Source organism: Homo sapiens, chromosome 10 (genome assembly GCF_000001405.40).
Source record: "Homo sapiens chromosome 10, GRCh38.p14 Primary Assembly".
NCBI lineage: Eukaryota > Metazoa > Chordata > Mammalia > Primates > Hominidae > Homo > Homo sapiens.
Genome location: NC_000010.11, coordinates 98632216 through 98654947, shown reverse-complemented (window position 1 = coordinate 98654947; position 22732 = coordinate 98632216). Strand labels below are relative to the sequence as shown.

General features: G+C 39.1%; 1 protein-coding gene across 14 annotated transcripts in view; it reads left to right on the top strand.

Annotated features, from left to right (window-relative positions):
* Positions 1-22732, top strand: part of HPSE2 (heparanase 2 (inactive)) — an 858875-nt gene that overhangs the window by 661004 nt on the left and 175139 nt on the right. For 13 of the 14 annotated variants that reach the window (XM_047425614.1, NM_001166245.1, XM_011540030.2 and 10 more), the window contains one exon: positions 13008-13101. In XM_047425614.1, the coding sequence (XP_047281570.1) occupies positions 13008-13101 (94 nt within the window). Of the gene's footprint in view, positions 1-13007; positions 13102-22732 lie in introns of those variants that run through there. The other variant, XM_047425615.1, reaches the window with a different exon arrangement.

Genomic DNA, 22732 nt, shown 5'->3' with positions numbered 1-22732 from the left:
GGAAAGCCTAAAGTGAAGAAAAGAGGCATAAACAAGGATACTAGGGGGCTTTGAAGCCTCTGGCATCTACTGATATAGCAAACACAGTCCAACTCCTCGCCCAAAACCTCACGCCAAAGGTCTTTTTCCTCAGTTCCTATTACCTAATTCAGCATGTCAGTTTTCAACAAAAAAAATTAGAAAGTAAGCCAAAAGCAAGAAAAAACACAGTCTGAACAAAGTATCAGAACCAGTCTTATATATGACATAGTTATTAGAATTACTAGATGGAGAATTTAACTATGATTAATACATTAAGTGCTCTAATGGAAGTAGACAACATGCAAAAATACATGGTTAATATAAGTAGAGAGATAGAAACTACAATGGAATCAAAAGGAAATGATAGAAATAAAAAACATTGTCACAAAAATGAAGAATGCCTTTAGTAGGCTCATCAGTAGACTGGATACAGCTGATGAAAGAATTGGTGAGCTTGAGGATAGGTCAATAGAAATTGCCCAAACTGAAATTCAGAAAGGTAAAAGAATGAAAACAACAGAATAGCCAAGAAATGTGCGACAATTTCAAAATGTGTAATGTACACATAATTAGAATAGCAGAAGGAGAAGAAGGAGAAAACAGAGCAGAAGAATAATGGAAAATAATGGCTTGAAGTAATTCAAGTGTTGAAGTAATAATAGCAGAGAACTTTCTGAAATTAATGACAGCTGTAAGACCACAGATCCAGGAAGCTCAGGGAACACTGAGCAGGATAAATTCCAAGAAAACTACAACCAGGCATATTATAGAACTAAAGAAAAAAGAGAAAATCTTGAAAAACAATAGGAAAACAATACCTTACCTAAAGAGGAACAAGGCAATGAAGTGCATTGATATGAAGCAATGTGAACAAGGATCTGAAGTATCATAAGAAACAATGCAAGCATGAAAATAGTGGAGTGAAATCATTAAAATGTTGAAAAAAAAAAAACTAGAGTTCTTTATCCATGAAAAGTGAAAGAGAAATAAAGACTTTCTCAGACAAACAAAAACTGAGGGAATTTATCACCAGCAGACTTTCCCTGCATGAGAGATTGATAGAAGCTTTTCAGGTAGAAAGAATGTGATATAGATCAGAAATGCAAGTCTACAAAAGGAAAGGAAGAGTGTCAGGGAAGGAATAAATGAAGGTAAAATAAAAATTTTATTTTCCTTATTTTAATTTGTCTAAAAGATAACTGTTTAAAGTAATAATAGCCACAATGTACTGGGTTATTATAGCATATATATAAGGGAAATGAATGATAGAAATGAAGGGTGGGATAAATTTAGGATACTCTATTATTACCTGTACTGCATATGAAGCAGTATGGGGTTATTTGAAGATACACCGAGATTCATTAAAAATGTATATTGGAAATTCTAGGGCAACCACATAAAATGTTTTAGAAAGAAATATAATAGTATACTAAGAGAGGAGATAAAATGTAATTATATAAAATGCTCAATTAAAACCAGAGAAAACAAAAAAAGAAGAGATTAAAAAAAAAACAGATACAAGGAATAGAAAACACTTAGAGCATAATAGATATTAATCCTAACTATATCAATCATCATTCTAAATGTGAATAGCCTAAATATACCAATTAAAAGACAAAGATTGTCAGGGAGGATATAAAAACAAACTTAACCATATGTTGCCTACAATAAACCCAATTTAAACATAAAGACTCAGATAGGTTAAAAGTAAAGAGAGAAGTACACCATGCACACACAAATCAAAGGATGGCTGAAGCAGCTATGTTTCAGACAAAGCAGACCTCAGAACAAGGACAATTAACAGGGATAAAGAGCACCATTACATAATGATATATAGATTAATTCTCCAAGAATTATCCTAAACATGTATGCATCTAACAACAGAGTGTCAAAATATGTGAGGCAAAAACTGGTAGAATCCAATTAGTTATTAGCCATCCTTGATCTAGGCTTAAAAACCTAGGTAGATGAAAGAAGACAAAAGAAGCTAAGTGACTTGCTTAAGGTGACAAGACTAATGATTGGAAAACCAGCTCTCCTAGCTCCTTGTCCAGATTGCTATCTAGTAGGTAAAAATTTTGTTTGAATAATTATTATCTTAGTTAATGCAAATTCAGACAGGATTAATAACCACTGGGTAAGAGAGAAAGAGTCCATGTCACATTTTAGCCAAGATACCATTTAATTAAGCCTAGGCTTTGTGTGGAGAAGGCTGAACAGATGAAGGTCTCCAAAGACCAGTCATGTAGACCTTGTAGTTTTGCCAAGAAGGGTTGCACTGCCTGGAGAATGGAAGTGGAGGTTAAGCCTTGGTTTGCCACTCAAGTGACAGAACTCAGGGGATTTGGAGTAGGTGCTAGATAGTGGGAGATTGGGAATGGGCAGGGGGTAAAAACTGCTCTGTTGTGTTTCACTGACCAAGGTAGGATTGGACAAGTGGTGGTATAAAGCTAGTGAATCATGGGAGGTCACTTTAGGGACTTGGTGATTGAAAAAAGCAGATGGCTGAAAGGGTATATGTGGGACTGGTTGTTGAATCATGAGGCTTAGTAGGATACACAGATGTAAAGAACAGAGGCAGAGACGATGAGTTGGCTTGGGGGAACCAAAAGATCCCCAATGCACTATGTTGGTGTTTCCTTCCTCATCTGGCTCTTACCTTCCTATTCCCTATTTTCCTTTTGTTCTGTGTATATACTTGCTTCTACTTTAATTGTCTAAAATATGTGATGAGAATATATTAAATGAAATTTTACCTTTTTTGATCTTAATTTAGAAAGTGAACTATCATTGTTTCTTTCAAGGAGCAGTTGCTTTTTATTTCTGTCTTTAACTTTTAAAAATGGAACTATTTCTGGCCGAGCGTGGTGGCTCACACATGTAATCCCAGCACTTTGGGAAGCCGAGGCAGGTGGATCACCTGAGGTCAGGAGTTTGAGACCAGCCTGACCAACATGGTGAAACCTGTCTCTACCAAAAATACAAAAATCGGCCAGGCATGGTTGCAGGTGCCTGTAATCCCAGCCACTCGGGAGGCTGAGGCAGAGAATTGCTTGAACCCAGTAGGCGGAGGTTGCAGTGAGCCAAAATCACACCACTGCACTCCAGCCTGGGTGACAGAGCGAGACTCCATCTCAAGAAAAAAAAAAAAAAGGAACTAGTTCTTTAAAGGGGATCTACCCTTCTACTTAACATGACTTCAAAATGATAGCAGTCATCTTTCTTTCTCTTTGTGTTCAAACCAAATCTTTCCTCAATCACAGAGAAGAAGATAACATGCTGATATTTCCCTAATTCTCAGACTCTTTTTGGTTAGATAACCAAAGTGAATTTGTAGGAGATTGGAGGGAAAAAAAATACGATATTTTAGGGTACCGTTTCTTAAAATTCCTTGAAATTTTTTAAAAGAAAGGATGGTAAAGAAACATTTTGTTACGGAGGGACATGTGAAATTTTACCTTAGAATTATGACATTAGAATTCCTATTAGCTGAATAAATTTAACTGAGTCATCTATCAGTTTCAAATATTATATATTCTGAGCACTAGTTCAAGGAACTTAAATTTTATTTCCTGGTCCTGATGTGATTTGCATCATATAGAACTGACTGTCTCTCCCTCTCAATCTCTTTCTGTTTCTTTTAACACACATCTACACACATGCTTGTATGCACACACATATATCATGGTAAATAATGCCTTTAAAGGCTTTATATGGTGAGAGCTAACTTTTCTTTTTAAACAGAGAAGTGACAATTGTCATAAAAAGAATCATAGTGAGGTAAGATTTCCTTTCAGTGCAATATTCTCCACAGTGAGCATCCTTTAAGAAGGTATAGCTCTATGACATTGAATTTGCTGACTGTAAAAGTTAGGTACAGGAACTAAAATATACAGGGTGTTGGTGAGTGTAGGTAGAAAAGCAGTTTGATGTGTGTGTTGGGTTGTCTGGACATAAGAAACATCATGCAGGCTAGAGTTGAACCTCTAGCTTTTGTGATGCATGCAAGTTAGGACATGTGATTTCATATCCTCAGTGAGATACCAAATAATGAGAATGTCTCAATAAATCTACCTCAAACTATTGGCTGTCCCTGAGTGAAAACTAAGGTAGCTAGAAGCCTAATGGAGAATATTCTATGTCATCAAAATGCTGCCTCCTACTGATATGTGACCTTTATTAACTGGCCTCCCTTCCAACATTCTAGATTCCATGTCCTTTTTGGTCATTAGTAATCACCTTGGTCACTGTGTTTTTACACCAGGCTCAGTATGTCTAAATATAGAAAAATAAGAATAATATCTCCCCTCATCAACTGTTCTTGCATGGGATTAGAATGAAAGTTATTATTCAACCAATCACTGGTAGACACTCAATCAATTCAAACTAGAATTGTAAGTAAGTTCTCCAGGCTAATCTTTTTAATTTTCATACAAGGACAGTTTCTTCTCAAAGGAAAACCTCTTCTATTATGAACTGTTGGTCAAACAGATTGATTGGTATAAAGGTGTTTTGTTGTAATGAATGCCCATATATTAGTTAATATAACACAAATTGTTTTAACAATTAAATCCCCACATTTCAGTGGCCTGGCAATAGAAGTTTGCTTCTCACTAACGTGACAGTCCAATGCTGATGTACCTTGGGGATGGCCTCACATGTGGCCATTCCAGGACCCAGGTATTTACCATTTTGTGGCTTTTCCTCAGAGACTTTTCCATTCAGCTGGCAATGGGGACAGACACTACTAAGAAGACATGGCTTCTTAATTTCTGCTCAAAAGTGAAAAACACCTACATCTACTTTAGCCCTGAAGTGTCACATTATTTCTGCTCACATCGTTTTGGCATTCCCCTGCCTCTACCATGTAAGAGGGGCAAAGAAATGTAGGTTCTGCCTGGGCAGCTGCTTCTTGGCAACAGCTCAGCACTATGGAAGGGAAGCTCAAATTTTGGTAGTCAGTAAACTATCTTTACCCTGTCCCCAGGAGCAAGCTCAGGTGAATGGGATCTGAAGTTCACCTCAGGTGCCCTACCATCTCTCAAGAATCGCAGCCTGAATTGGTTGCTGTTCAGTTCTATCATGGCTGAAACAGGAAGTACTACTGAATTTGGTTTTAACCCAGCATTTCCTAAACTTATTTGACCATGGAGCCCCTTTTTCTTTATATAACAATTACTAAAACACTTTGAAAAACTTTTTTGCAAAGAAAAGAATAGAGTTTTACCACCTCCATGCTTTTACTTATCTACCCCGGTTTTTGCTTTTGTTACTGTTTTGGGTTGGTTTTGTGGTAATTGTTTTGTTTTCTTGAGAAATTTGCACTTAGTTCAATATTGTTTAGATTTGGTTGAAGTAAGCAAGACTAAAGGCAGTTGAAAAACAATTTTACTTGATTACAGGACCAATGAAATAAGCATGGTGCTGTATTGTTGGGACACTTGGCAGATCAAAGTACAAAGGGAAAAGGTTTTGGTGTCTGTTACTTAGTACCTATATGATCTCTGGTTTCCTACTTACTAATACCGTGTGAGCTGTAGTTTCTAATCTGCAAAATAGAGAGTGTTCATGAAGATTAAATGACACTATATGTAAAATAGCTAGCAAATAAGAAGGAACTTAATATATGTAAGACTCCTCCCTTCCTCTTTCTCCTTTCTATTTTCTCCTAGTTAGTAATATACTAACTTAATTATAGTTCAGTTGTGCTATTCTGCCACGAACAATGACAATTACATGAAAAGAGGCCAGGGGAAGGATGTGGCAACAGTATAAGCAACCCCCAATTTACAAACACTGAGTTTTTTAAAATACTGCACATAGATGGTTGGGTTCTGGCAACTTAGATAGACCCTATCATTCCTGTTATTAATGCCTCACAATTTAGATTTACCATGAAGCTAATGAATTAAGCTTCAGACCCCTCTCTTGCATTGATTCCTATGAGTGCTGAGAGTTGTAGGATGTTCTAGGTGGTAAGGGGTAAGGGAATGGGGGCAGGTTGCTATGAGGAAGCATTATGTAAACATTTCTAGTAAATTGCTTGAAGAGCTCTCAGAAGAAAGGAACTTGATTCTCTAAGTTTCTGGGAGTTTGTTGTGATTTATTTTGTCATTTGATATAAATACTTACTTTTGTATCTATTATGTGTTTTGTAGTTTAAAAAATGCTTTCTAATTTTTTTTTTAGAGAGTCTCGTTCTGTCACCCAGGCTGAGTACTGGTGCCATAATAGCTCACTGTAACCTCGAATTCTGTGGCTCAAGTGATCCTCCTGTACCACTACACCCAGCTAATTTTTTTATTTTTTGTAGAGACGAGGGTCTCGCTATGTTGCCCAAGCTGGTCTCAAACTCTTGGCCTCAGGAGATCCTTCCACTTTGGTCTCCCAAAGTGCTGAGACCACAGGCATGAGCCACTGTGCCCAGCCTTGTTTTGTACTTTTGATTTCCTCCTCTTAAAGAGGGCCCCACAACTTGTGTTAAGTTTCAGACCAAAAGCACATGGATCCACTTCTGCCCACAATTCTGGTGCCATCACCTGCTACTATTCTGAAAATTTTTAGAGGTCCCTCCCTAGAGCCTGCTCCAATGGCTGAAGCTGCATATGATTTCCCTACCTCTTTCCTTTCCCAGCTTCCTGTACACCTCTCCTTAACACCGCTAGGATCAAGATGATTTGAGCCTCTGCCCACACTCAGTGCCTCTCCACATACAACTCTGGATATATGGGGAAAAGGGTCTGGGCTTGAGGCGCAGGACCCAAAGTGTGCAAAGAGTTAGGAGAGCAAGAAGATGCAGAAAATGGAGCCCTTGGCATGGCACTTGAGCCTCGGTTGGCTCATTATGGGTTAAGTCATACAGGCACTCATTCTTTCATTAAAGACATTATTTGCCTTTAGTATTGCTCACAACTCTGACCTTTACCTGTACTATTTTTCTATAACATTTTTCCACAGTACAAACTCTTTCTTACTGAACTATGTCCCTTTAGTAGGTTAGATGATTCCTGAATGGAATTATTTGAACTGGTTTAAGAAAGCCAAAGAAACATCTGTATTCTGTAGAACCTTTTTTTGTAACAGTGTTCATTTCATCTAAGCGTTCCTGCCCAAAGCAGTTCTGAAACACAAGATAAGAAGGTTGACCCATTGCAAAGAAGATGAAAACTAATGTAGCCTCAGAAGAAAAGCTTAATGGCAAGTGCTCAGCAGGAGCCCAGGCTGAGGGCCTTTGGAGGAGGGGCAAGTGCAATTTATAAAGCCTAAATACTCAAATCAGCCTTTCTCCAGTGTTTGCTTCGAGGCGGCAGAATAGGTTTTATAGGTGAACAGGGTTTTTCTAATGATTATCCAAGCTTCTCCCCCTTCAGTAGGGAAGGCTCCAATTTTCTGGAATTACCTGCCCAGTCAGCAGGCTGGGTGTTAGAATTCTGAGCAGGCTGCCCCTCCTCCTTGAAACTAGCAGGGAGCAAAATAAGTCCGGAAATTCCTGAGCACTGGGAAGCCCGCACTAATGCAATTACCTGAAATAAAAGAAGGGGTCAGATAATAAAGGGCAAAGGTTTTTCTTTTTAAAGTAAAGGGCCAGGTAAACAAAACCAGCTGCCCCTGGAGCCAACAAACTCTCCTCATTAAATGTTTTAAAAGCCTAATGGGCATAAGTGGCTAATTGTAGTACAATCCTGAAGACTGAATCTAGGGGCCTGATGAAGGGGGTCAGTGGGACGGGAATGGGGTTAAAACTTGGCTGACAGAGACAGGAAGGAGGTGAGCTCTGCTCCTGGCAGAGGACCTCTAAATGGCCAGAATGAAATTAAAATAAGAGTAAGATGCTTTGACTGGGAGTCTGTAATCTTGCTAACAGTATCCCTGTGAGATGGGCTTGGATGTCTCATTTGGAGCAATTTTAAGTTTAAATGCTAGTTGAATAGGATCTGGAGTACAGGTTTATTAAAAAACTAATTAGGGGAAATTTTATGTTTATTTACTATGAAAAACTGGAAGAGTATGCAGCAAAATGTTGCAATGAGCTTCTCTAGGTGTTGTGCTTATTATACTGTAGGTGATTTTCCATTTTCCTATTTCTATTTTGTTCATGTTCATTCTCTAATTCGTCTACAATGAGCATTTAGTTCTTTTGTAATAAAAATAAAGGGCAACACCAAATAAAATAAGATGAAGATTATTGTACTGGAACTAAAATGTAAAATTAAGGGGGACAGGAGAGTTGGTGAATACATTGATAAGTGGTTCCTTTTACTTTGTATAGTCTGCTATCTTTGCCACTTCCCCAGAGATATGCTTGATATGACCTGCCAATCTAGAGGTAGGAATGAATTGCTGGCATTGGGTGAGACAGACCTTTTGATGATGTATTAATACAAAAGTTTCAACTTCATTACCTTTGTGATAGTTCCCAGAAAGGTTATTTCTACACAGCCTTTCTTGGCTTTGGTTTTTAGTGGAACAGCTCGACGACTTGTGGTATGATCTTAAGTGATGCTGAATTTCAAGAGAGCTTGGAGGATGACCATGATATACCTAAAAGTGTCAGTCTAGGTAATTCTAGACCATTCAGCCAGGGTTTTTTTAAAAAAAAAAAAAGAAAAAAGAAAAAAAGAAATCACCATTATCATCATTTTTAGCAATTTATTCTTATAAAATGGTCACCACAGACTACTCCATCTCCTTCATGCCCAAATATAAATGATATATTTATATTGGACCTATCACCACATGCAACTACCATCAGTGAACCAAAGCTCTGTAACTGGGAAGAAGCTTTCAAATAGCCACGGATTGTTGATGCTGAATGTTTTCTTAGAAGCTTCACATTTACAATGGGTAAGTACAGTAAGTTAGTTGTCCAAGCATATCTAAGAAAAAGGTTTAGGCATTGATAAATTCATACCCTATGGGTTTTTCTTTGTTTGTTTGTTTTTGTTTTGTTTTGAGACCTAGTCTTGCTCTGTTGCCCAGGCTGGGGTACAGTGGCACAATCTCGGCTCACTGCAAGCTCCGCCTCCCGGGTTCACGCCATTCTCCTGACTCAGCCTCCGGAGTAGCTGGGACTACAGGCGCCCCCCACCACGCCCCGGCTAATTGTATTTTTAGTAGAGACGGGGTTTCACCATGTTAGCCAGGATGGTCTTGATCTCCTGACCTCATGATCCGCCCGCCTCAGCCTCCCAAAGTGCTGGGATTACAGGCTTGAGCCACCACGCCTGGCCATACCCTATGGTTAAATGATCCCCTCTCTTAAAAGTGATACTGAATTCTGGATGACCAAAGTTCATATTTCCATAGTACAATATAAATGTGGGTTTAAGTTTGCAAATGAAAGTTGCTGAAACTTCTCAGTATAATGTGAGGATTCCTTTGACATTCAAATGTGAATTGGACTCAGACTGAAGTTATTAAAAAGATGCTGTGATCATCAGGCTAGAGGAGGAAGGGGTCCTTAGCTGGGTCAAAGGTAGAGGCAATGCCCAGGGCCATATTTTAGAAGCATTTTGAAGGGTCTCTGACATCTCTGTTAATTTCCCTTATTCTCTTGAAGAGTTCATCTGCAGCCATGGCTTTGGCCATTACTTACAACCTGAAAAAGACCCCCACGTCAACATTTCTTGTCTCAACTTTTCTCTGTACCTCTTTCTTATATCCCCAGCTACGTGGTATATAGTTCTTTCTTGATATTCTGTATATTTTTGATATGTCAGACAGTATCTTTCATCTCTCTAAACAAATTGTATTCCTGTATGACTAACCTACATCTCTTTGGCAACAGTGTTCTCCAAGGCAATCTCTCTTATATGTTGATGGTCATCAGTGACTCCCTTCCTCTCTTTTACCCTCTACAGAAGCTTTATTTGTTCTTCCTTCATCTCTGCTTGCTTTCACTTTTCTTGTTCCCTCCCTTATTTAGACCCAGATCATTTCTTGCCAGCACTATTGAGATAAAATAACTTTATTTATTGGTTTCCATGCCTGTATCTCCTCCCGCTCCAATCCAATTCACAGCCCACGGAAATAGCCCAAGATTACCTGAGAATGATTGGATACAGCTTGTAAGGGTAAAACTGGGGACAAGAATAGGCTAAACTGCTTAAGCCAAGGTTGCTGGATTTCATCTCCCATGTATCACATGAAGGAGCAATTGGACCATTTCTGGGTTCAAGAAGATATAATGCTAGCCATTGAGAGGAAGTAACAGGGATCAGATTTCAGCACCATGTCAGAAGAGCTTTTCGTCAATTAGAGCTGTGATGCAGTGAAGCAGTCCTAGTAGTGTATGACAGTGAATTCTTGTCCCTGGATATGTTCAAGCAAAGCCAGAAAATCACTTCTAAGGGATATTGTAGCAAGCTTACATGCTTTAGGCCAGCTGACCAGTAAGGTCTTTTCAAACTCCAAATTTTTACAACATAATCACAGCCATCTCCATCCCTGCCTCTGCCTCACACCTGCTGGGAATCCAGCATCTGTTCTTGCTGCTCTACACTTTCCTCACTCCAAGTTCTACAGCGGATAGCATGCTCTCCTCCAGAGGGATGCTCCCCTGCCCATCCCATCCCATGGCCTTTCAGTGTAAGTTTCTGCTGCCTTGGGCCCTTAAGTAATCTGAACAGAGTAGATCTGGTTATTGAATAGCTTTTATATGACAGGTCCCGTGCCCAGCATTTTTGCTTATGTGATCAGTACACCAACCCTGTGAAAATATTGTAGATTTGGGTTTTTTAAAACCCACTTTAAAGAAGGGATTGAACCAAGGTTTTCTAACTCCAGATTCTGGGTACTTGAGAAAAGGAAGGAGGAAAAGAATGAAGGGACCCTCAACCATGGGCCACAGATTGGGGTAGGCTAGGGAGGTTCTTCACAGGAAATCCTACCTACTGAAAAATTACATCTGGAATTTTTATCTCAATAGGTATTAAACTATGTGTGTTGCTAACAAAAATTATAAATACTGATGTGTAATGTAGTTACTGGGAACTAATTGAGAAAAGAGGAAAGTGTAATATATTTGATTAAATAATAAAAGAATAATTACAATGCATTACTTGTCAAATTCCTGGTCACCATATAATATAGTAGCAAGTATTCATGTCCTCAAATGTGTGTTAGATTAGCATTGCATAAATTATTTTTAATTTTAACACTACTCTGTCTCAACATGCCTGGCTTTCATGTAGTATGCCATGTATCTGATCTTTTTTTCAAAAATCAGAGGTGCTAATTAAGTATCTGATCTTTTTCCAAAAATCAGAGGTGCTAATGAAGAAGTACTACTATGAACAGGTTATGAGATAGGATAATGGACATGGATATGCCCAGCACTATGTGTTGCACATAATAAATGTTTATTGGATCTGAGTCTGGCATCTATACAAGGGATGAGGCAAAGGACATGTTATTATTTTATTTCCTGATATAAGTAACCATCAAAAATTTTCAAATACATGTACCCCCAGCACAGAAATTCCACTGTTATAGTGTTCTATATTTACACATAACTTAATTAATCAGTCTCCTATTGTTTATAATCCCATCTTTGTGAGGTGACAATTAGGAAGAACTAAAAGTTGTTCAGTCCCTACTGTATGCCAGGAACTTTACATCTGTTAGCTCATTAATTCTCAAGCCTGAGGAGAAGATATATTATCCCCCATTTAAGAATAAAAAAACTGAGGCCCATAGAGACTACGTAACTTGCCCAAGATCATATAGTTATTAATACCAGATCTGGAATTTGAAGTCAGATATTTCTGGCTAAAAGCCAAATTTGCTCCAACATTCCAATGGTTTAAGCACTGGATTCTGTGGAAATGTTGTAAAGTCATAAGTGAGGCCAAAAGGAAAGCTGAGTAGGTAGATCATCTACCACCCTTACCTCAACTAAAGTACCTGCCTTACAATAAAACAAAAATTTAAAAATTAACCATTCCAATACATCACATGTTGGTATGGCAAGTTGACATTGAAAATAATTTTCACATAGTTCTATAATATGTAGTGATGGGTGGCTGCTTCTTAAAAATGAAATAATTTATCATTAGCCAACAACCAAGGATAACTTAGTGGATTGGAAAAGGCACCCAGGAATCACAAGCATTTAGAAATTGATTGAATTCAGAACTTTGCCAAGATGGGGGTAAGGGAAGGTCTGAGGTAACGAAGATCACCTAACCCTGTGTCAGCCTTAGCTTAATCTTCAGCAAAGAGTCTCACAAAGGATATCTCCACAAAGCTGGATGGGCCTGTTTTGGTCAAATATTTACAACATAGTGTCAACAACTTAATATTTCATTTAAGCTAAGAAAAACCAAATCAAAACAAAAACCAATGAGTATCAAGTTGTTACTATTTTAGGAGAGGGCCCTTCCACCTTTGTACATTCATCATTAGTTTGTTCATTCATTCTGGAGGTAGTAGGCAACCACAGCATATTTTGGTAGTAGGTTGACTACAGAGTGTTCGCCCACAGGAATGAGCTGGAGACTCACTCACTACACTAAGTCAGATTTTTGCTTTCGTGTTTATTTTCTTATTTAAAGATATGGAAAAATTTATTAAAATGATTGAGTATTCTTTCAAACCTCTCACATACCTTTATTACTTTAAGGTGGGATTAGTGATGGGCATGGGATGGGTGTTAAATTACTTTCTCAAGGGGAAAAAAAAGTATTCCTCATTATCCAATTTGTATTATGGAATTTCCATCAATTCCAGCAAGTAAGCAATGGGGTTTCACGTGACAAAAGCTGAAAAAAATAACAGTATTAGCCCACAAATAGTGGTGGAAATGGAGAAGATAAAAAGGTTATTATTTGTTTGAAAAGTACCCAGGTTCAAAACCTTTTAGAATATGAGAGCCCGAGTGGAACCCTGGTTTGTTTCCTCGGGCAACAGAGACCTTGGGCTAGAGAAGTGTATTTATAATCCCTTGCTTGAGATTTTATCTGATTCTTATTTTATTTTTATTCCAGTTGCTACATTGATGGCCGGGTGGTCAAGGTGATGGACTTCCTGAAAACTCGCCTGTTAGACACACTCTCTGACCAGATTAGGAAAATTCAGAAAGTGAGTAAAAGTATCCTGGGAAGAAAAGGAGCGATTCTGGGGGTAAGACAAGGAAAAAGACACAAAGTCCCAGCTGGGCATCAGCACTGTGGGAACCAGAGTAGAAAAATAGGAAAATAGTGCAGTCTAGATGGGCATGGTCACAAGCTCCCCATCACAGTTGTTGCCTGTCATTTATTGTTTTTCAAATTGAAAAGGGTCTGTGTGTGCCATATCAAGGTTTAAAGCGTCTCTATTTTTTTTTTAATTAATTTTTTTTTGAGATGGAGGCTTGCTTTGTTGCCCAGGCTGGAGTGCAGTGGCATGATCTCAGCTCACTGCAACCTCTGCCTCCTGGGTTCAAGCGATTTACCTGCCTCAGCTTCCCGAGTAGCTGAGATTACAGGTACAAGCTGCCATGCCCAGCCAATTTTTATATTTTTAGCAGAGATGGCGTTTCACCATGCTGGCCAAGCTGGTCTTGAATTCCTGACCTCGAGTGATCCACCCACCTCAGCCTCTCAAAATGCTGGGATTACCGGTGTGAGCCGCTGTGCCTGACCTAAAGCATGTCTATTTTAATATGAAGTATTTGTTTATAGTTTGCTTCTTGTGAGTTTCATAAGGGAAGAATAGATTTACTTGATATTTTCTTTTTTGGAGGGGTTTATTTTAGGTTACTTTAAGGAGAAAATGATTATATTCATTCAGTGAAATTCCAGTCTGGGCACTGGCAATTCTGAGCCATATTTACACTGTTCCTAGGTGTCTTAGAATTAGCCAAGTAAGATCTTAATTTTGTAAAATTGAGAGGAAAGCTATATTATATTAAGCAATTGCATGTAAGTGCTATCAGCACACCTTTGGTCAGTGATTCTCAGACTTGAGTACTATCAAAATCACCAGTGGTGCTCACTAAAGTTTCTAATTTCACTCCTGTTGTTCTGATTTAATATGGCTGGAGTGGCTCCCAGAGGTCTCTATTTTTAATCATCTGTCAAGTGATTTTCCATAATGCCAATTATGGATCACATTTTGAACTACTGGATTAGTTAATTCTAAATTGTGAGGATCTTACATCTACAATTGCCATGGGCCTCTAAAATATATTATTATCTTTTGTTGCCCAGTTAAGGTTCTTTTCCAGGGAATGGGGACCCTTTGAATAGTTGGCTATTTCTCGAGCGGATTAAACAAATCTTTGCAGAAAAATTATAACAGGTAGGCCCTCAATAAATATGAGATGAATTAATAAATAGACAAATGAATAGCTCATTTATAGCTCTGAAAGGAAATCCTATTTGAATAAATCATAGAACATCAATTTTGAGAGCTAAAGTGGAGGTCTTGACCTTTTTTGTATTCATCCCAATGTCATACTCAGATTATAAACAGCCTCTGGAATTCTCTTGTTCTCAAGAGTTTGATAGGCTGAGAAGCCTCAGAGCTTCTGAACTACTACATCCCAATCTGATCCCTCCAGGGATCAGGTGCATTGGCCAGCACCCTTATCTGTCACTGCCTTCCACTAGGCAAAGCCTAGGAGAACTAAATGATTTGAAATATTTCTACCAGTCCCTGTTTGATATTCATTTGGTGAAAAATATTCACTGAGCATTTAGCAAGTACCTAAGGCAAAGTGTCAGATGCTGGGGATACAAAGTGGTATAAGACATGGTCTCTGCCCTCAAGGTAAAGTAAGTTTTAACACTTACTTTCAGCAGATTGAAAACATATTACCTAATGTAATAGAATGTTAACCTATTGAATACTCTAGCTTTCTAAGCACATTATGCTAATCTGATATTACATATTGCCCTCTAGAAGGAGGGAAGAATTTTCTGTCATTAATTCATTTGTTTATTGCTTCATTCAATAAATATTTATTGAGTGCTTAGTATATTTAGAAACTGTTCTAAGTGTTTATATTACAATAGTGTACAAGATAGTCAAGTTCCTATAGTTTTGGCTTTTCCAGTCTTGAGTTTGATCAAAGGGCTGTTGTTGGAAGTAAAATGATTCAGTTCTATCAAGGCACTGAGAGTGAAGGTTCTAACTGTGCTCATGTTATTATTTAAGTATAGCAAGTGGCTGTAGGTTAGAACTAAGACAAAGGTGTTGGAAGTTAGGTTCTTTCCTTTATCCCCACTTCCCATTACCGTCCCGCACTGCATATGCCTTAACCATATAAACCAGTTTGAAAACTGAAATAACTTACTTCCTGATTTATCCAGGGCCCAAGAAACTTAAGGAAAAGAGCTAAAACTCTGCGTGCAATTGGTATTCAGATCTTTAAAAACAAACCTAATGGACTTAGAAGGGGAAGGGGAAGTGCTGTCACTGGGAGGAACAGTAGAGCCCCTGAGAGATGACCTATATGCAGAAAGCAACTGGCAGGGAGGGCTAGGCTTAGCAGCAGGGTCTGAACTTACCTTTTGGCAATTGCAAACAGAACATGCCCAGGGTCCCCTCAAGCCAGGGCTCCTATTCTGATTATCTCTTGCTGTGCAACAAATTACCCCAAAACTTAGTAGCATAAAACAGCCATTTATTAAGCCAATGCATTGTATGGGTCAGGAATTCTCAAAGGGTACAGAGGGAATGGTTTGTCTCTGCTCCATGATATCTGAAGCTTGAGCTAAAAGACCTAAAGGCAGGGATTACTGAAAGGTTAGTATCTGGGACCATCAGAAGGCTTGTTCACTCCCGTCTCTGACACGTGATGCTGTATCACTTTTCCTAACCTACCCTCAGAAGTCACATGGCATCACATTAGCCATATCCTGTTCATTGAAGTAGTCGCCAAGACCCACCAAGCTTCAGGGCGAAAAGAAATAAACTCCTCCTTTCAATGCGGGAGTGGCAAGATTCTGGAAAAGCATGTAAGACCAGAAATGTTTTTGCAGTCATTTTTGGAAAATATGATCTTCCACAGTTTCATCCTCCCTGTTTCATTTAGTAGGCTTTAAGTCATTTCCCTGTTTTTTTCCCCTGATTCTCTTTTACAAAGCTCTTGCCAGATATTACCTTAAGTGAGTATACGCTAGAGGTGTTGCTGGATAACAGATTCCCTGAGATTTGAACCACTGGATAGACTTCTCATTGGCTAAAGCAGTCTGGACCCAGTCGTTAGGGCCTCCAAGAGGAGAGTCTCTCTCACCACAACCCAAGGTGTGCTAAGCACTGGACTTCCCTGGGGACATGAGAGCTAGGAGACTAGACAAGGATCCCCAAACTTTGATTGTTGAAATGTTGCTTTGACTGTTCCTGAAGTCCCTGGTGGGTGGGGAGGAGGGTTCTTGGGAATTAGGGTCCAAAGTGCAAACTAGGGCCCACTAGCCAAATGGCTTTCTTGCAAGTTCCTCAAACCATTTCAGAGATGGGCCAAGTTAGGTTTTATGTTTTTTTAATTTTTAATTTTTTGTGACAGAGTCTCGCTCTGTCACCCAGGTTGGAGTGCAGTGGCGCAATCTCAGCTCACTGCAAGCTCCGCCTCCCGGGTTCACACCTTTCTCCTGCCGCAGCCTCCCGAGTAGCTGGGACTACAGGCGCCCGCCACCACTCCCGGCTGATTTTTTGTATTTTTAGTAGAGATGGGGTTTCACCGTGTTAGCCAGGATGGTCTTAATCTCCTGACCTCGTCATCTGCCCGCCTCAGCCTCCCAAAGTGCTGGGATTACAGGCGTGAGCCACTGCACCCAGCCTTTTTTTTTTTTTTTTTTTTTTTTTTGAGATGGGTCTCACTTTGTCACCCAGGTTGGAGTGCAGTGGCAGGATCTCAGCTCACTGAACCTCAGCCTCCCAGGCTCAAGCAATCCTTCCACCTCAGCTTCCCGGGTAGCTGGGACTACAGGCTCATGCCACCACAACTGGCTGATTTTTGTATTTTTGGCAGAGACAAGGGTTTCACCATGTTGTCCAGGCTTGTCTTGAACTCTTGAGCTCAGGCAATCCACCCGCCTTGGCCTCCCAAAGTGCTGGGATTATAAGTGTGAGCCACCGTGCCTGGCCTTCCAAGTAAGGTTTTACTGTCTATATACCTAGAACCTTCACCCCAAAGCTAGAAATGTACTTTGTTTCTTCTCTCTTTGTAGAAGTGAAGTCCTAAGGACCCCATTAGGCCCACAGTGGTAGAAAAGGGGCAGATTTTTCACCAAAATGACGCCATGTGGGAGTGGCTTGATAAATCACTGGTAAGGCTGTTTGAATAGGGTATTGGGCCCAGGATTTGAAGTCTGATGGCCTGGCTTAAGTATAGCTGTGTGGCTTTGGGCCAGTCACTTACTTGATTTCTCTGATGTTGTCTCTTTGTTTGTAAAATGAAGATGCTAAGGATACTATTCTCCCTCCCTCTTAGGTAGATTAGGAAAGTCATGTGAGAAAGCCCTGTTTTGTTCATTGTTATTGAATGCTAGTTCTTATTGCTATTATTATTGTTGTTATAGTTATTATAGCTATTTTTAATAATTTCTGTGACTAGAGAAGCTTTACATTACCTTTATCCTCAACTTGTTCTTTGCTTTTTCTCCTCTTTCCTCTTTTTTTTGAACTCTGGGGAATATGATAGGTGATATTTTTGGCACCTGAAAGACAATGACTCAATTGCTAAAAACAGCTGTGGTTTGCAAATTTGGATTGCCACTTAGAGAAGAATTCTCAGTTTTCTGAGCAGTGGGTGAATTATCTGGTTATATGAAAATCTACATGATGCATTTGAAAGCCAAATAGAGACATGTTTGAGCAGTGTGTGGACAACTCACCCCTTTGGATGATCCACACACTCTTTCCCTTTCATTAGAATGATGATGATCATGTGTACATTGGGAGATGAGTCAAAGGAAAGAGTTGATAATCTAAAAATACAGGGAAGAGTCAGATGGGAAATTGAGAAAGTTCAGGACACAGTGCAGATGGTATAGTCTGGATAGCTGGGCTGACTCCAAAACAATGACTTAAGAACCCAGAAGAACCACTTTGGCTGAAGTCATTTGGACTCTGTGATTTGTGTCTTCATCTCCTAGAGGAATCAGAAGAGGAAATAACACTTTTTGATATTATTTTCAGTAATTCAATAAGCACAGAAAGGAGTTGGTGAAATCCCAGTCATAAAGGAAGTGTTTCCAAAAGTACTGTCCATATTATTGCATTTTGAATACTAACTAAACTCAACAATTGGCTTCCCCAATATTTGAAAAATTTCTTCCTTTCTTCCTTCCTTTTTCCTAAAATTATTTTTAATTGACATATAATAATTGTACATACTTATGGGGTACAGAATGATATTGCAATACGTGTATACAATGTGTAATGATCAAACTAGGATAACTTGGCTGGGCACAGTGGCTCATGCCTGTAATCCCAGCACTTTGGGAGGCTGAGGCAGGCAGATCACCTGAGGTCAGGAGTTTGAGACCAGCCTGGCCAACATGGTGAAACCCCGTCTCTACTAAAAATACAAAAATCAGCCGGGCATGGTGGCAGGCACATGTAATCCCAGCTACTCAGGTGGCTGAGGCAGGAGAATCACTTGAACCCAGGAGGCGGAGGTTGCAGTGAGCCAAGACCACGCCATTGCACTCCAGTCTGGGCAACAGAGCGAGACTCTGTTTCAAAAAAAAAACAAAAAAAAAAACAGGATAATTCACACATTTATCACTTCAAACATTTATCATTTCTTTGTGTTGGGAACATTCGAAATCTTCTAGCCATTAGAAATTGTACAATAAATTATGTTAATTATAATCACCCTACAGTGCTATCATACACTAGAATGTATTCCTTTTATCTGGCTGTAATTTTGGATTTGTTCACCAGCCTCTTCTATCTCCACTCCCCACCCTTCCTAGCTTTTAGTAACCACTGTTTTACTCTCTACTTTTATGCGATCAAATTTCTTAGCTTCCACATATGAACAAGAACATATGTGGTATTTATCTTTCTATGCCTCACTTATTTCACCTAAACAAATGTCCTCCAGGCTCATTCATGTTGCCTCAAATGACAAGATCCCATTCTTTTTTTATGGCTCAATAGTATTCCGCAAATATATATGCCAGTTTATCCATTCTTTTTTTTTTTTTTTTCATGAGATGGGGTCTTGTTCTTTTGCCTAGGCTGGAGTGCAGTAATGCAATTATAGCTCACTGCAGCCTTAAATTCCTGGGCTCAAGCGCTCCTCCTGCTTCAGCCTCCCAAGTAGCTGAAACTACAAGCCCACGCTACCACACCTGGCTAATTTTTTAATTTTTTTGTAGAGACAAGGTCTTGCTGTGTTGACCAGGGTGGCCTCAAACTTCTGGTCTCAAGTGACTCTCCTGCCCCAGCCACCCAAAGTGCAGGGATTACATACCTAAGCCACCACACCTGGCTCCGTTCATCTGTTGATGGAGACAGGTTGATTTCATAACTTGACTATTGTGAATAGTACTGCAGTGAGCATGAGAGTGCAGGTATCTCTTTGGCATACTTATTTTCTTGTGGATACATACCCTGTACTGGGATTACTGGATCATACAGTAGTTATATTTCTAGCTTTTTGAGGAACTTCCATACTGTTTTCCATAATGGATGTCCAAATTTACATTCCCACCAACAGTATGTAACAGTTCTCTTTTCTCCATACCTCACAGCATTTCTTACTATCTTCTTTATAGTAGTCATTCTATTTGCCTTCATTTCCTTCTTTCTTCCCTTCCTTCCTTCATTTATTGACTATTTGTAACATTCTTAGAATTTTCCAGGTCCCTGAGAATAAAATGGTGAGCAAGACTGACGTGATGCTTGTCTTCATAGACTTTATGGTCCAGTGGGGAAAACTGATAATTAAGCAAGCAACAGTAATAAGATGTTATGATTCCTATTACAGGGTGCTCTAGGAGTCCATGGTGGGAAGTACCCACCTTAGTTTGTGAGGGAAAGGAAATCAGGGAAGTCCTCTCAGAGAAAGTGACATTGAGGCTAACACCTAAAAGTTAGACTCTCTAATTTATACAGTTCTTCTTAGGGTATGATCAGAGAACCACTCGTGGTAGACATGTATGGATAAAGGAATGGTTTGTATGGTTCGTCATATGAGCATGATTATTCATTTGTTATCATTGCTTATGACTGTTTATATTTAATAAAGATCAACTCTTTTGAAGTCTCAATAAATGTAGTGACATTATGCCACTTCTTCCAATATATTGTAGTTGCAGGACCATGGAAGTAAGGAAGAAGGACATGTAATTTCTTTGAAGTAATTAATAGATTTTAAAAGAAATTCTTGCTTTTAACCAGCTTTCCAGTTTACCTGCTTATTTGATCCTCTTAGTAAATAAGAAGAAAAGAGCAAAACAAACAAACAAAAACCCACTTCTTCTTGAGCACCATAGAATAACTCGAGGCACAATTAAAGGAAACATGAGGACAATGATAATATTAGTCTTCTCTAATGGAGAAAACTGGAAAATGAAAACACATTACTAGGGTAAGAACAGTAGTATCACCACAAAAATCAGTATTTGTTTGATTAATTCATTAATTCCCTCATTCATTTGGCAATATTGACTGCTTATTTCAATGTCCCAGTGCCTATCACATAGCAGGTGCTCAATACATGTTGGAGGGAAGGATGCACAAAGCGAGGGGCAGGTGAATGAGCAGAATAAAGCACCTGAAGTATAAAAGAAGTAATGTCTTATCTCATTCACATTTATATGTGCTGTCTTTGCTGTTCACACTGCAGAAGAAACTTATCTGCTGCTAACTTTGTGGTAGTGTTGAATAGATGGAAATCAGTTTAGACAGCCCTATGAGCTATGCCTATGTATAGACATAGTAGGAAAGTATCTTCAGTGTATCTATTTAGGAGTGATGGAAAAGTCTTTTTGTGGCCCCGAATAATATTTCAGTCTGTTTGTTTCAGACATTTCATTTGAGTGAACAATCTTTCATTCTACATTAGGATGATGATGAAGAATGTAAGCAATCTGGGAAGAGGTAGACTACACTGGCTTAAATTCACACTAAGGCTTTAAAGGTAAATAGAAGATCCTTTCCCAAGAGCAGGTTTTGATGGAGGGGAAGAGAAACACGCGCCAAGGAAATACAGTTGGCCCTTGAATAACATGAGGGTTAGAGGCGCTGACTCCCTTGCATAGTCGAAAATTCATTTACAGCTTTTGACTCCCCCAAAACTTAACTGCTAATAGCCTGCTGTTGACCAGAAGCCTTACTGATAACATAACAGAAGACTCACTGATAACATAACATAAGCCTAACTGATAAACATATTTTGTCTGTTACCTGTATCATCTGCTATATTTTTATAATAAAGTAAGCTAGAAGAAAGAAAATGTTATTAAGAAAATCATGGGCTGGGCGTGGCAGCTCACACCTGTAATCTCAGCACTTTGGGAGTCCAAAGCAGGTGAATCATTTGAGCCAGGAGTTCGAGGCCAACCTGGGTAACATTTCAAAACCCCATATCTACACACACACACAAAAAAAGAAAACAAACATTAGCTGGGCATGGTATCACATGCCTGTGATACTAGCTACTTGGGAGGCTGAGGTGGGAGGATTGCTTGAGCCCAGGGAGGTTGAGGCTGCAGTGAGCTGGGATCCTGCCACTGCACTCCAGCCTGGGCAACAAAACAAGACCCTGTTTCCAAAAATAAAAAGGGAATAAAAAGAAAGAAAATAAAATCATAAGAAAGAGAAAATATATTTACTATTTATTAAGTGGAAGCAGATCATCATCATAAAGGTCTTTGTCCTCTTTGTCTTCACATTGAGTAGGATGAGGAGGAGAAAGAGGAGGCGTTGGTCTTGCTGTCTCAGGAATGGCAGAGGCAGAAGAGGTGGGGGAGGTAGAAGGGCAGAAAGGAGAGGCACGTGCACCCAGTGTAACTTCCACTGACGTAAATTAATGTATAAGTGAACTTGCACAGTTCAAACCCATGTCGTTTAAGGGTCACCCGTACTCAGAAGGCACAGGACCCCAGATACAAACTGTACCACATTAATACCTCGGGATAACATCAATGAGTGTTCTGAGTTTTATGGGGCCTGACATTTATACAATGGGGACCTTTATAAGGAAAATAAAACAAGGAAATCTGCAAATTATGTAAATATTTGACCATATGAACACATTAGCAGAGCCCTTCTTAGGATATTGTTAGATGCCTGTGAAAGCAGGGAGCTGGAAATTTAAGCTCCATGAACTTCTCGGTAAATTAGCCTCTGTGACCCCACTTGGCTGTGCATCTGCAAATGGGAGAATATGACCTAAGGGAAACTTTGACTCTTGGCCTTCATATACAAGACATGAAAAATATTATAGTTGGGGAGTCTAACCTGAAAGATATGTTTACCACCAAAGAACACCAAAGTTTTAGTCATTGTCATTCCATGAACCTTAATTTCCTTGATTCTTAGATACAAATATTTCCTTGAATCTTAGAACAAATATTAGAGAATTCACCATTAATTTAATAACAACTGGGAAGGGAGAGGGTAAACAGTAGGCAAGTTTCATTTGATATTGATTTTGAATAATGTCCTGATTTCAAAAGCATTGAATTGTGAAAAATGCATCATTAACTTACAGAAATATAATAATTATATTACCTTTTGGGTTATAAATGCCATTTATTGAGTGCAATAT